Genomic DNA, 15,624 nt, shown 5'->3' with positions numbered 1-15,624 from the left:
ATGAGTACTAAATAAGTAATAAATCTGCACACATACCTTACGCGAACAAATTAAATGGAATTGTGTCTTTGGTCATGACTCAGAAGTGTTTCAAACTGGTCTAAAGTACTTATTTTAATAAAGAAAAAGTACTTTCAATTTCCAAATGCAATAAATAAAAATATCCTCTAATTCTGTAATCATATTTTTAAAAAAAGTTTGAGGTTGGTGAATTTTACCAGGCACAAGATTATAAAACTAACCCCAAACTATTTCTAAGATATATAATTTGTGTTTGGTAAGACGTGTATTGAGTAAATATTATAACCTGCAGATACATCTCATGTGAACTTGAACCCATAATGGTTGGAAACAGTTTCCACAAGATTGCTTTTTATTGGGGTGGAGGCTTCAGAACTACATGAAAGAAATTTAATGGCTAGAAATTCCTGGGGTTATAACCAAAATAACCGAATATGCAATTCAGCTATGTGGCATCTTGGTGATGCCGATCTCACTACTGTTAGTTTTCAAGAGCTCAATGCCTGAAAATATAATAGAATATGCTGTTCTGAAAGATTATTTAGAGCATTCAACAGAACTTCCTGAACCTTTCCCAACCTAGCAGGGGGAGGAAGAGTCAGTATGTGTCCTCAGGGGTAGTCCAAATTGCCTACAACTATGGTGAGGTTTCCTTAAAGCCTCTGTTATTGAAATCTTGGGAATTAAACATTTTACTCCATGATATATTATGCTTGCTTTGGTATAAAATTTATTTTAAATTTCTTACCATAGAGCAAAACTGATGTTCTAGGAAGAAATACCCTATGGATAGAGTAGACACTAGGACTCCACTCCACCGTCTGTGGCGGTGGAGATAGTTGTGTGAGTGTCCCAGTTTAAGGAACATGGTGAACAGGGCAGACCAAAGCCTTCAGAGGTGGAAGCTTCTGCACTGGTACAACTCAGTTCTAATGAGGGGAAACCAAAGAGCGTACCCGGAGGAGGACTGCATTTACATAGCTCCTCTGTCCCTGGCTTCTATCCCAGCCACAAAATACTAACACGAGATTGCATGCAGTCATTGGGACATTCAACACCTGTCCAGGAGAAAGGGCTTAACATTCACTAATTGGGTGAGAACAACTTCCAACATGTTTCAGGTATCAATAAGTTATCCTTAAAATTGTTGCTCAGTACAGAACAGACATCCAGCAACCCCATAAGCATTTGGTTTCCAATTTTAGCTGATTTTTTCAAAGCTGCTTTTACTTTCCGCCTAAATCTTCTCACAAAATGCTCCAGTTAACTATGCACACATCACAGATGATGTGCTCTGACAGATATGAAGAAGAATTAACGTGAAACGCATGCACTGTTTAAAATAAAATCATCTATGTCATAAATAAGAAAAACAAAACAGATGGAATTGTGTCTTTGGTCATGCCTCAGAAGAGTTTCAAACTCTTCTAAAGTACTTAATTTAATAAAGGAAACACACTTTCAATATTCCAAATGTAATTAAAAGAAAAAAAGGAAAAACCTCATTCTGCAATCTCTTTGGAATTTGGTATCAATGGTTTCAGTGTAAGAATTCGTTAATGAAATGACATTGAGGGTAAATCATTGAGGCAAAATGGCTATTGATTCGGGTGTCACCGAACTGACAAAGTGGCTTTGCATTAGACTAAATCTTGCTTAAAGAAGAATCTGGTAAGTGGAGCTATTGTCAAAAAAAGAGGAAACCTTGTATCAAATTGGGTGAAATACGTCTGCAGTTTCTTCAACACAAATGGTCATTTCTTCACGAAACATTCCAAACAAGCAATTCACAAGCCATTTGTCTTTCATAGCCTGAAAGAGGGGTGCATTTGCTGCAATCATTTGGTTAGCTCAGGGCCACAAAAAAGTCAGCAGTCTTGAGGTTGCTTTCCCAATGGAATGCTTCAACTTGACATCAACAGGAAAGCCCAATCAGTCTTAGATTGGAAATGCTGAAAACGTTTCCCTCAACTGATTGGTGGGAGAAGGAGGGAAGAAAAGGAAGGATTTACTCAATACCAGGGGAGCTGAATAAACAGGTGCCATTGCAGTTTCCTGCAGGAAGGTGGAAAGATTAGTCTGGTTTATATTGAGCGCTTAGTAGAAGTTGTAGTTGATTAAACAAGAGTGAATCATTGTGCTGCCTCGTCTAGATAATCTTTAGCCATTATCTTTCATAATAATATCAAAATCCTGAGCTTTCATTCAGTCCCTGACTTATGTGATCAACGAAGAGGTGGCACTCCTAACAGAGATGACAAAGACACATCCAAAGTATTTTAGTCACTTTATCTCCACAGCATTTTCACTCAATCTTCACCTTTAACAAATCATACACAGGATCCTCTTACAAATCCTAATTGCAAGCTTTTAAAATCATACGTTAGGAAGTCCAGGATCATTTTCAGGGTCTTAGAAGAAAAGTCGCTCTTGCCAAATGTCCTTGGGGACCTTTGTTACTAGAAGTGGGCATTTTGCCAGATGCTGCAATGAAGCTTTATAAAAATAGACAAGATAAATGGACTTTTAGTACAGTATTGTGCCAGACTTTTAATTTTCAGGAAATTATTTTTTTAACCTAGCTGAGAGTCAAGTCAATTTGTGAATTAGTTGAAAGGGTGGCTGGATATGGGGTGGGGGGTAGGGGTGGCATCTGACATTTTAAGTCAGAAAAGCCTGCCACACAAAACAGATTTCTCTTGGCAATCAAGATAAGTTAACAACCATAAACACATTGTCAGAGGGAAAAATTACATTTTACTCTAACACAGATCATGTACAGATGACTGATTTTTCTCTCAAGTTCAAGCACAGAAAGATTGTTTATATATTTCAACTTCTGACCCAGGCGGGTAGAACGGTCTTAGAGGTCTGAACAGAGACGCCGAAAGGGCTTTTGGCTATTTCTGTGTTAAGGATACAGCATAACGATGATGGGGTGTACATGCAGCCCAGATTGCAGAGAATCAGGATGAAGTTGCTGCTGCAGATAATTTGCAATGTTTATTTGCTTTTTTTATAACCCACAAAAAAGGCAATACCACTGCAGTTAAAAAATATATACATTTCCCTTTGCTTGATTTCTTTGGAATATGTCAGGGTATGTTTCCCTGTTTCAGGGGTTGCTTGTATCAATCCAAGGATTTTTAAAACGAACACCCCAACATTTTATAATATTATGATTTCATCAACTTACCAGGTAACTGATCCTTTAGATGGTGAACATAAGATAGTTCTGAAGGACAGTTGAAAATGTTAAGAACTATATGAAACACAAGGCATTATTAATTCTTTATCATTCTTCTTATTCTGTTTTCAAAAATAAGAAGCATTGTAAAATCTTTAAATTCACCTGAGACCACGCTTCAACTAAGGCAAGATTATTTGATCCAGTTGGAGTTGACAGGAGTGTTGCCCAATTCTCGAACAATTTGGCATTATTCATTGCAACAAATGCATTGACTGAGTATATACTTATTGAACATCTTTGACATGCATAGTGCTGTGATGGAAACTGTCACTGTGTGTCAGATATTTCTGACAATGCAACAAACGGCCCTTGCTACCTGAAAGTTTGCAAGCTGGTTGTGTAGAAAAGACTCACAGTGCCCACAGACACATAAACACATTATTGTTTAAACATTACACAATAATGCAAGACAATAGTACAAATAGTAAAAGAGTAAGAGTAAGCAGCAGTATGTTATGAATATCTATTTTTATTATAAATTTGGAAAAATCACAGAAAGGTGGTATGTGTGTGTGTGTGTGTGTTCATGTCTTCCTGACATCACTTCCTATAACTTATATTCCTAAAAGCCTCTTGAAATGAGACAAGTATTTATTGAGTACATATTATATATGCTAGGCACATGGCATGTATTATCTCATATGTTTGTCAGAACAACAACTAAAGTCATTGTTATTGCTAATTCTATTTTATAGACCTGGAAACAACCTCAGATACTAAGCAAGCCATCCAAATCTACCAGTTAGCAAATGGCAGAGCTGAACTTCCAATTCTGGTTTTTCTAATTCAAAAGTCTGTTGTCTTTTCCTTCTAGCAGTGTTTCTGAAAATGAGATGTGCAGACCTGGGTTAGAACCACTAGGGAAGAGAGGGTGCTTGGTAAAATGCAGATGACTAGGTCCCTATGCCTGCTAAACTGGAATCTCAGCTGACTGGAAAACCATTGCTCTGCCCTCTGCTTCCACTGTTTGGTATTTGGTACTTCAGGTAAACACAATTGTCTGAGATGAAAGGAATAGGAAAGCATAAATCCCAATTCATTGCTCCTTGTGCTGAGGTCACTTGAACTGAGCTGAGTCCTCTTCAGGTGTCACTACAATTTTTCAGGAGTTCACAAATCACTAAGCAACTAAAAATTCTATTTCTTTCCTGAGGGGGGGGGAAATAAGAATGGGTTTCCCTCCTGAATAGCTGGTGTCTGAGGATGCTTCATCTCTGAAAGATGAATTTTCAGGTGTCTAATTGGAACCTAATGTGGATCCAATCCCCGTTCTGGAGCCATGGCTCTCACATTCCTTTTATCCCGGGCTATAAATCTCAAAATAAATTTAGCAAGAATTTAGAATGAAAGTTTCTCCATTACATTTTGAGATGAAATGAAAGTTAATCGTGGCAAGAAGAATTTCATCTATTTTATAGGATTCTATTGGGAGGTAACAGATAATTGGAAACTAATTCCTAGATTCAAAGAATCCTAAGAGTGAATGGAAATGTGATTATGTCTATTTGGGAAAAGGTATTCATGAAATATTTTTGTTCATTATCCTTCCTCTGAGCAGAATAATGCTGTACTTAATTCAAGCTCTATCTTGTTCTGGGAAAAGTATTTCTGGAACTAAAATATAAGATTTTACTTTACCTAACTCTGTTAAAATGTAAATTTAGTAAATGAATTTAGTAAGAGTAGTAGTAGCAGGTACAGTTGCCAAGGGAGTAGGGACTGGACTGATAACTTTATGGCCATCTTTCATTGAGCATTTGATTATTATATGCTGTCACTCAATGTTGAATTCCTGCAACTGCCTCTTTTATGGAAAAAGGAAAGATATTGCATTTTATGCCATCACATGTATATCTAAAAAATGTTCACATGCATTCTTATTTTGTTATTAATATTAATAATAACAATAATGATTTTGGTCAAATTTAATCTTTATGAAAACCCTGAAAATTAGGTGCTACTCACATGTTATAGACAATGACATTGAAGCTTAGGAAAGTTAAAAATAAAACCCAGTGGGTCTGGAACCTTAGCTTGCATCAGCTAGAGGTCTTGTTAAAACACACAGTGTTGGGTTTCACCCTCAGAGTTCCTGATTTAGTGTATTCTGGAGTCTTTTCAGGAAAACTAGTGCTCTACACACGTTGAGTAAGACATAACATTTCCACATGTACACACCACATTTTGGTATCCTATTATTCAAGGGTACCCCATTATTTAACAATATTTTTTCTTTACAATGCAATTTATTTTTAAATTATTTTGTCATCCAAGGAGACAGTGCTTCAGGGTGGGTCATGATACATATTTGATGCTTAAATTACACAGGAGAAAGCAGTTCAGTACTGAGAAAAGAAGCCAAATGAAAGATCACATTATGGAAAACATACTGATTTGGGACAGGCTGAGCCAGGGGTAGTCTATCAGGTCTTTGGTTGCATTGAACTTTTGTGCTCCAAGCAACTTTCCTACTTGTATCATTTTGTGTCAGCAGCCTGTGCTCTTAAAAGTTATGGAAATTAGGAATAGGAGAGACCCACAGTGTCATTTCTTTCATCATCCTGTCGGCCTAGAGCCACTCTCAGGTGTTTTGTCCATTCCCACCAAAATTATTGTTAAAAAATGAGGTAATGGGATATTAAAAGAAAAGAAAGGATAGTTGGAAGGAAATATTTTTCAACTAAAATGTCAAGAGTTAAGAAAGCTACCATTTGTTTTTGATTTCTCTGACACAAGGAAACTGGGAGAATATGAGTTTTCTGTCTGCCAACATTAATGCTTTCACTATGCTGATTGAGTCACCTCTGAAATTATCAGTCTGGCTTCCCATGCTCCAGGAAGCTGGAAGACATGGTGGGACTCCTCACGTTGAGTGCCATCTCCATGCACAATCACAGACAGTGTAAATGGCAGATGTAACTTTTCTTTCTTCCCCATTAGGGGCTCTATCAGACATCTGTTGTGTTTGCCGGTTCATTATTTCTTTTCCAGCCTTTGATTGCAGCACCCTAATATTTCAGACTAAGCAGACCCTTCCAGAGCCTTTTGCTTGTTTTTATTGGACTTTCTCAACCTGTAGGATGTGAGCTGGATGCTCCTAGGTTTACCATCACACAGGAGGAGCCTGGTTAGAAAGGAAGGGACACGCGGAGGAAAGAAAGCAGATTTTGGGATGGAGAGAAAGATTTGTGATAATGCTACTTCAGAATTTGAATCAAGACTGTCCAGGTGTGAACCAATAAATTCTCATTTCCTTTTCTCTTGTGTGAAGTTTTTGAGTAAGGTTTTAATCACCACCTGGTTTAAGTTTAAGAAAACTAAAGCAGAATGAATTACAGGTATGTCAGCATTAAAATAAGCAGGCCTGTATGTCAGTGAGAATACTAGGTTCAGGTTTCAGGAGACCTGGGTTCTAGTCCTGGTTGTGCCACTGATTAAGGTTCTTTGAGGACACGATCTCTTGGTGTCAAAGCACCTTGAATTATTTCTCGCTCAATCCAGGCCTCCCAAAATGACCTGTATGAGTGATGAAATTGCAATGAAGAGGCTTCTGTGGAAATTCTGGAAAATGGCCAGGGAAAAGATCTGTCATCTAGACACTGGAAGATCTGAAGGGAGAGGTGACAAGCTGCAGAATCAGGGTCATAGGCAAGTTACAGACAATGACATCATTTTTCCTGATACACTATGGCAGCCCAGTCAACCTCAGCCACTGTCTGTAATGGAAGCCCTAAGATGAAGAAGCAAAATAGAAAATAAACTATGGAAAAAAGAAGGCAATATTCCATACCTATCGCTAGTAACTTTATTTTTGGTTGTGTGCTTGTTCTTGCTAAAATGTTAGAAGCAGAAGAGACCAGATATTAGGAAGAAAGAGAAATCAAGAAAAACCCATCCAAAGAGCAGGGTCTCGTAAGGTCCCTGAAGATGTTTGGATAGAAGACTCAGAAAATGTTCACAAAGTTGAATTGTCACATTTTATGTGATTTTTGTTTTGCTTTGTTTCTTTTTTCACTCAAGTTTTCATCAGAGCCCTGCCGTTGGCCTACTGGTAAATGTTTAATAATTGTCTCTCCAGGAGAAAAAAAAAAAAAATGGCTTAGTTAGTGGAATTGCCAACTTCAATAGTGTAAACACTCCCCCCATGGCCAATTTCAAGCTACCAACATTATATGAACTGATTCATAAAATTCCTTCAAATTTAACAATTGGATCCAAAATGAGCTGACGCTAGCCTATACTGAAATTACAGAGTGAAAACTCTAATTATCAGCGTGCTTTGTGTATACATTTAAGGGATAGCTATGTGTTCCTCCCTGAAGAATTCAGATGTGAATCAGAGATTGTAGAGTCCAGAAAGGGGGTTTATAAATGCCTTTGGTGTCCTATTCTTAAGTAGGGCTATTCTGATGCCACTGGACCATGGCTTCAGAGCAGAACCTTGGCTGTGGAGGTCACAGGGCACGGCCGCAGGATCATTATAATGTCTTAATCCACACAGGCAAAATTAGCATGGCATGCAGCCTGCTCTGATGTTTCAGGTGCTTGGATTCTGAACACAAAGGTAGCAATTGTGGGCAGAGGGGATGGTGCAACCTTTGCAAAGAAGAGAAGCATTTGCCCTGGGGCTGGAGACAAGAAGAAGAGGATAAGGAGCTGGAGGCATCCTCACCTGTCCCAGACTCAAAACAAGTTTAAACAGAGCAGGCAGAGAATTCAGTTCCAGATAATGAAGCAGTCCCATGAAAGTACATGAGAAAAGAAGGCAGCGTTGGAGATGATTCGATGTAGAAGCTGGAGGAGGAGGAACAAGGAAGAGAAGAAAGGAACAATGAGAGGAAGGAGAGAAGTAGCCACAGGAAATTGGCAGGAGAGGCCTTCACCCGTCAAACATGTGGGTCCCACGTCTCTGGGAGGCCCAGGTGGGATTGTGTTAGTGAAGGCTGATTGCATAAGGGGAAGGATGAAGGATGTTTTCAAGGGAAATAAATCAAGGGGCAGATTGAAACTTCCCATGAACAAATACTAGATACATATTTATCAGTAGTTTCACCTAGGCAAAAGCCAAAGCCCAAACTGCATTTGTAGACAGAGGAGCAACAGGTTTCACAGAAACTGAAGATCCAAAAGCCCTGATGTTGAGGATGAAAGTTAAAGAAATGCAAGCATGATTATTGTTTTAAGGAAAAAAAAACCAGAAATCTTTGCTACTCTTCAAATCTTTCTAGTTATGATTTAGTCGTGGTAGTGTCCAAGTTCCCCAGACTAAATGCAGTGCATAGTCTTCAAAGAAAAAATTATATTCCAAATAAGATTTATCTTTGGCTCTACATTGAAGGTAAAAATATGGCGGTTAAGAAAGATGCTTTTGTAACTTTCAAGGGAAGAAACAATAGATGACTCTTTTTGGAAAGATTTGTGCAAGAAACAGACTGCTTCGGAAAAAAAAAAACGCTGTTTGCTTTTGGGAGGAGCAATTCCAGCTAGGCTCTTTTGGACTTGAAGAGAGACAAATGGCAAGCAACAAACTTCCTATGTATTTTGCTTCACACAGACATGGATCTGTTGAATTTATGTAAGGAAGTAAATTATGATGTATATTCAAAGAATAATCCAACTGTTATCTATATTCCCTGTACCTTCCCCCCAAAAGGAAAAATAATAATAATTATCTATTTAATCATGTATGTTCTTTTCTAAACAAAAGTGTTAGGAAATTGATGTTTTCCCCTTATCTCTTACAGTCACATTAGAGGAAGATTTGTAGACTTCAGGACAGAAAGGAATCAAAGATTTTAAAAACACAAATGCATGCTAATTCAGAAAGATGTTTTAAAAAGCCAAATAAAAATGCTGCAGACTCAGTTTAGGCAAGTACCGGATTTTAGCCCAGACACAGTTTCCAACATTCTTTACTACTTGGACAAGTCACATACCCTCCCCAGCCTGTCTTTCATAGGATGTAGAAACTGGGGCCGACACATAAGGTTCTGTTTGGCAGGAAACTGACAAAGCAATCTACAATCAAGAAAGACTCAGTTCCTCTAAACGCAAGGTAAATAATTCATTTTAAAATTTGATTAATTCATTTTAAGTTCATAAATAATGCATGAATAAATGTTCTGTATAAAAATTTCAAATAATACAAAAGTATGTAGGGAACTAAATTATCATGCTCATATCTCCCTCCTAAATCTCATTTCTCTCAAACAAGGTAACTAGAATTTGTAGTTTGCTGCATGTCCTTTATGGTACTTTTTCTATTTACTTATCTGTGATGATCATTTATATATTATTTTTATTATTAAAAATAGTATTTTAATAATTTTACTATTAAAGCAATGTAATCACATTAAAAAAAATCCAAAAACTAGAAAAACAGATAAGTAGAAAGAAAAGTCCATAATCTCACTAGCTAACACAAATCCAGTAAAAAGTTGTTATGTTTTCTTCAAATTTTCGCCTATGTGTAATTTGTAATAATAGTAATAATACATACAAAGGGAAGGACATTCAATTATTGGGTTAAAAATTAATAGAGTTATATATTCTGCTTTAGGGTGATATTTTAGTACTACTCAGTACTAAAATTATTGGTAATCAGTATTAGTAGTACATCTATTAGGAGCCAGACACCTGAGAAATGAATAGGAGAACAAATTTCATTTTTAAGGAACAGAAAATATAACTAACACCCTTTTAGGATTCTCAGCGTGGATGATGAATGTGTTAGACAAAACAAAAGCAAGAGTTAAGGTCAGAATGAAAGAATTACAGACTCTTAGAGCTTAGAGGCATCTAGGTGGCATCTAGCCCATGTTTATTATTTTATAGATGAGACAGCATAAGTTTGTGACTGTTTTTCTGAGGTTACACTGCTAGTGAGTAATAAAGCCAAGATTTAGACCCTCTTACCCACCCCTAATCCTAAATTTTTTCCTTAATAAAATGAACCAAGCTCATAGAGAGACATCTTCAGGGGTAGAAGGACCAGGATCCAGGTAGTCCCTTACAGAGAATACCTTTTTAAAAGGTATTTTTGAAATTTATTTTTAATTTATATGGATTTAATCATTGTATACATTTGTGGGGTGCATATGACATTTTCATAAAAGCGTACAATGTGTAATGATCAAAGCTAGGTAATTGGGATATTCACCACCTCAAACATTTATCATTTTTTTTTTGTGTTGGGAACATTCCAAGTCTTCTAGCTATTTCAAAATAATACAATCAATTATTGTCAAGTATAGTCATCTCATTTTTCTACTGAACAGTTTTAAACCAGCACCTTTAAGCCAAAGCTGATCCTCACAGTTTTTAATTTTTTTAATCAAAACAATAGTCTTTTAACAGAATTAGTTCCCAACACTTGAAAGTGTAATTTTTGACTTCTCTGAAAACATAAAAAGATCTCACAACATCGGGCCCAACAATTGCATGTAGCAGTCATAGACAGGAACCTCTTTGGACCTGCCATGCTCTCTCCAGAGCTCCACAGCCCTCACCTGCCAGCCTCACCCATGTGGGGTGCCTGCCTGGAGCCCCTCCATCAGGAGCAATGTGTCATGTCCACACCTGACAATGTTGAGCATGAAAGTCTTTGTAACTAATCACGTTGAGACAAAAGAGAAAAACCGGGACAGTTCCAGACAAATTGGAATATATTATCGCCCTATAGACACCTGAGTATGTGAGGGCTATTTCAGAACCTAGGGATGCTGTGTGTTGATGTTCTGTCTCAGTGTGAAACATACAGCTTACCGCTCTTAATCATTCCAAGTCCCTTGTTCCTTCCCTGGGTCCACAGAGGCAGTTGCCTTCTCTGAAGCTGGTCAGTGCTCCTAAGAGTAACAGATATCAGAAACACTGCTAGGCATATCTGGGAATAGGAATTGGGAATCTGTTTATAAGAAAAGTGTTGATTGGGGTAAATGTTAGAACTGCAACTTCTTTATCAGCAGATAACTTTTTAAGAATTTATTTTTAATTGACAAATAATTGTATATACTTATGGGGTACAATGCATTTCAATGCAGATACACTTTTTTAATAATCAAATCAGGATAATTAACATATTTGGCATCTCAAACATTTATCATTTCTTTGTGGTGAGAACATTTAGAATCCTTTCTTTTAGCTATTTTAAAATATACAGTATGTTATTAATCACTATATTCCCTCTAATGTGCAAAAAGATCTTCAAAACTTATTTCTCCCAATTGTAACTTTGTACTCACAAACCAACAGCTCTTCTTTCCCCAGTCACCCTCCCCCACACCTCACTCAGACTCTAGTAACCACCATTCTATTCTCTACTTGTATAAGGTCAACTCTTCCAGATATCAAGTATGACTGAGATCATACATTATTTGTCTCTTTGTCCCTGTCTCTCTGTGACACTATTTCACTTAACATAGTCTCCTCTTGGTTCATCCATGTTGTTGCAAATGAAAGAATTTCCTGTTTTTGTTTTTAATGGCTGAATACTCTCTATCTATCTATCTGTCTATCTATCTCTCTCTCTCTATGTATCTATCTATACACAGACACACACACACACACACACACACACACACACACACACAATATTTTAAAATCTAATCATCCATTGTTGGATACTTAGGTTGTTTCCATGTCTTGGATATTGTAAATAGGACTGAAATGAACATGGGAGAGTAGATATCTTTTCAACATACTGATATCAATTCATTTGGGTATACAACTAGTAGTGGCATTGCTGGATTACGTAATAATTCTTTTTTTTTGAGACTGAGTTTTGCTCTTGTTGCCCAGGCTGGAGTGCAATGGCACCATCTCAGCTCACCGCAACATCTGCCTCCTGGGTTCAAGCGATTCTCCTGTCTCAGCCTCTGGAGTAGCTGGGATTATTTTTAGTTTTATTGAGGAATCTTCATACTGTTTTACAAAATGGCTGTAACTAATTTACACTAATAATAACAGTGTATACGGGTTTCCTTTTAGCCACATCTTTACTTGTTATCTTTCATCATTTTGATAATAGCCATTCTAACAGTGGTAAAATGATATCTCATTATGATTTTTATTTTCATTTCTCTGATGCTTAGAAATGTTGATCACTTTTTCATATATCTGTTGGCCATTTGTATGTCTTTTGAGAACTGTCTCTTCAAGTTCTCTGCCTATTTTTTAATAGAGTTATTTGTTTCCTTGTTATAGAGTAGTTTTGGTTCTTTGTATATTTTGGATAATAGCCCCTTATCTGATGTATGCAATTTGTATTTTATGAGGTATGTATGTATGTATGTATTTTCTCTCATTCTGTAGGTTGTCTCTTCACTCTACTGATTTTTTTTTTTTTTTTGCTGTGCATACTTTTTTTTTTTCAGTTTGATGTAATTCTCTTTGTTTATTTTCACTTTTGTTGCCTATGATTTTAAGGTCTTATCCACAAAGTTGTTGCCCATATTCACAGGTTTTATTCTAGAAGTTTATAGTTTTGGCTCTTAAATTTAAGTCTTTAATCCATTCTAAGTTAACTTTTGTATATGGTGTGAGACAAGGGTCTAATTTCATTCTTCTGCATATGATGTCCAGTTTTCTCACAACCATTTATTTATATTTTTAATTATACTTTAAGTTTTAGGGTACATGTGCACAATGTGCAGGTTTGTTACATATGTATATATGTGCCATGTTGGTGTGCTCCACCCATTAACTCCTCATTTACATTAGGTATATCTCCTAATGCTATCCCTCCCCCCTCCCCCACCCCACAATAGGCCCCGGTGTGTGATGTTCCCCTTCCTGTGTCCAAGTATTCTCATTGTTCAATTCCCAGTTATGAATAAGAACATGTGGTGTTTGGTTTTCTGTCCTTGCGATAGTTTGCTGAGAATGATGGTTTCCAGCTTCATCCATGTCCCTACAGAGGACATGAACTCATCCTTTTTTATGGCTTCATGGTATTCCATGGTGTATATGAGCCACATTTTCTTAATCCAGTCTATCATTGATGGACATTTGGGTTGGTTCCAAGTCTTTGCTATTGTGAATAGTGCCACAATAAACATACGTGTACATGTGTCTTTATAGCAGCATGATTTATAATCCTTTGGGTATATACCCACTAATGGGATGGCTGGGTCAAATGGTATTTCTAGTTCAAGATCCTTGAAGAATTGCTACACTGACTTCCACAATGGTTGAACTAGTTTACAGTCCCACCAACAGTGTCAAAGTGTTCCTATTTCTCCACATCCTCTCCAGCACCTGTTGTTTCCTGACTTTTTAATGATCACCATTCTAACTGGCTCACAACCATTTATTAAAGAGACTGTCCTTTCTTCATTGTGTATTCTTGGCACCTTTGTCAAAAATGATTTGGATGTAGATGCATGAGTTTATTTATGGGCTTTCTATTGATCCTTTAGTCTACGTGTCTGTTTTTATGCCAGCATCATACTGTTTTGGTTACTATAGCTTTGTAGTATATTTTGAAGTCAGGAAGTGTGATGCCTTCAGCTTTATTCTTTTGATCAAGATAATAAACTCAATAAAGTTTCAGGATACCAAATCAGCATACAAAACTTAGAAATGTTTTTACACATCAAGAGGAAACTCTCTGAAAAAGAAATTTTAAAAGTCTTATTTACAATAGCTACAAAAAAATTAGGAATAAACTTTACCAAGGAGATAAAAGGTCTCTACAACAAAAACCATAAAACATTGATGAAAGAAATTAAAGAAGACATAAATCAGTGAAAAGGTTTTCTGTGTTCATGGATTGAAAGAATTAAATCATTAAAATGTCCATACTACCCAAAAACAATCTACAGATTTAATACCATCCCTATCAAAATACCAATGACATTCTTCATGGAAATATATGTTCAAAAATCCTAAAATTTGTATGGTACCACAAAAGACCTGGAATAGCCAAAGCTATATTGAGCAAAAAGAACAAAGCTGGAGGCATCACACTAGTTGACTTCAAAATACAATACAAAGCAAATAATTCCTAAATGCCACTACGTGGTAGACATTTTAAAAGCTATAACGGAACATAAACACATTCCTTGCTTTAAACAGCTTAGAATCGAGCTGAGAAGATAAGCTCTAAGGGGAGAGGGAGAGACGAGTTCAAAGGAACTGAGAAGTTCAAAGGAGCATAATTGTCCATGGCTCCTGCTTTCCAAGAAGGGCTTTATAGTGAGCGCAGGACTTGGGCAAAATCACAGACAACAAGTAGAGGTTAAGCCAATGTGGAAAAGCGTAAAGACATCTTATGGAGAGAGAAAAACAAAAAGATTGGTTGGTGTGGAGAGAACTCAGTTAGCCTGGGCAACTCTCTCTTCGTTTTTCTCAAACAGAGCAGCACTTGCCAAGTTATTCCTTTGTTTGCAGTTTCTTTGTTTGCCAGAGAGAGGGATGCATGTGTGGGGGCGGGGTGAGTGTGGAGGGGACAGTGATACAGAGAGAGAGAGAGGGAGCTAGAGAGAGAAAAGAGAGAATACACTATTACTATCCTTTTTCTGGTGATGGTTTTCTGATTCTTGGCAAATAGTTCGTTTTCCAAAGGATGAACAAATGTTGGATTATTTTTCCAGTTCAAGAACCCAGCTGGAGGTCAAGGTGCACACTTAACTACTCATTAGGCTGAGGAGCTGGTTGGGCGGCTAAGGATTATTCTCTAGACAAAGGGTTTTTAGCCTTATCTCACCCAAAGATGTTCTTTTATAATATTTTGTGATGTCCCTGAGATTATCCTGAAATAAAATCTATAAGCCATTTTCCATATATATAATTTCATAAATCAATATAATACTCTAAGTATAATATTATAAAGAAATAAAGGATATGTATTTTATAATAAAAATCGTATATATACATATGTTCAATTTTTATATTTCAATAGATATCTGCTAGGTCACAATCACGATAGAAAACAGAATCTGACAGATGCTTGTGCCTATGCATGGATCCATGGGAATGCTGACAGTGGGTTGCTTTGGTGTTAACATGAGTGCTGTGGTGTTCTTAAATGGTGAACAACACTTACTAATATTCTAAGTAAAACAAAGTCCGATTTTCCTTTCACCTCATCAATTCCATTTCTGAAATATTCATTGTGTGTTAGGAACATGCAAATAATACTCTGTGTCTATATATCAAGGAGAGTGAGCATCCAAGCCCAGTTAATTGCAAGCAGACTATTACTTATTTGAGACTCTCCTGTTCACTGTTGCCCACCTAGCAACCCTGGTGCATACCTCCATACATGTCAGTAGTGTCATTCCATCATTATGATTCTAAGTCATCCCTCTACATATCTAAATGGTTCTCTGGTGGCAATAGTACCTCCATTAAGA

At 36.9% G+C, this 15,624-nt stretch overlaps 1 annotated feature.

Annotated features, from left to right (window-relative positions):
• Nucleotides 11,067-11,236: an enhancer, noted in NCBI's record as "experimental_57049 CRE fragment used in MPRA reporter constructs". NCBI's record gives its function as "activates a minimal promoter by MPRAs in K562 erythroleukemia cells, with activity observed for both the introgressed and non-introgressed 2:222124272 variant alleles {active_cell/tissue: K562}" and the evidence as "EXISTENCE:reporter gene assay evidence [ECO:0000049][PMID:34662402]".

Source organism: Homo sapiens, chromosome 2 (assembly GCF_000001405.40).
Source record: "Homo sapiens chromosome 2, GRCh38.p14 Primary Assembly".
Taxonomy (NCBI): Eukaryota; Metazoa; Chordata; class Mammalia; order Primates; family Hominidae; genus Homo; species Homo sapiens.
This window is presented reverse-complemented; position numbering and strand designations above follow the sequence as displayed.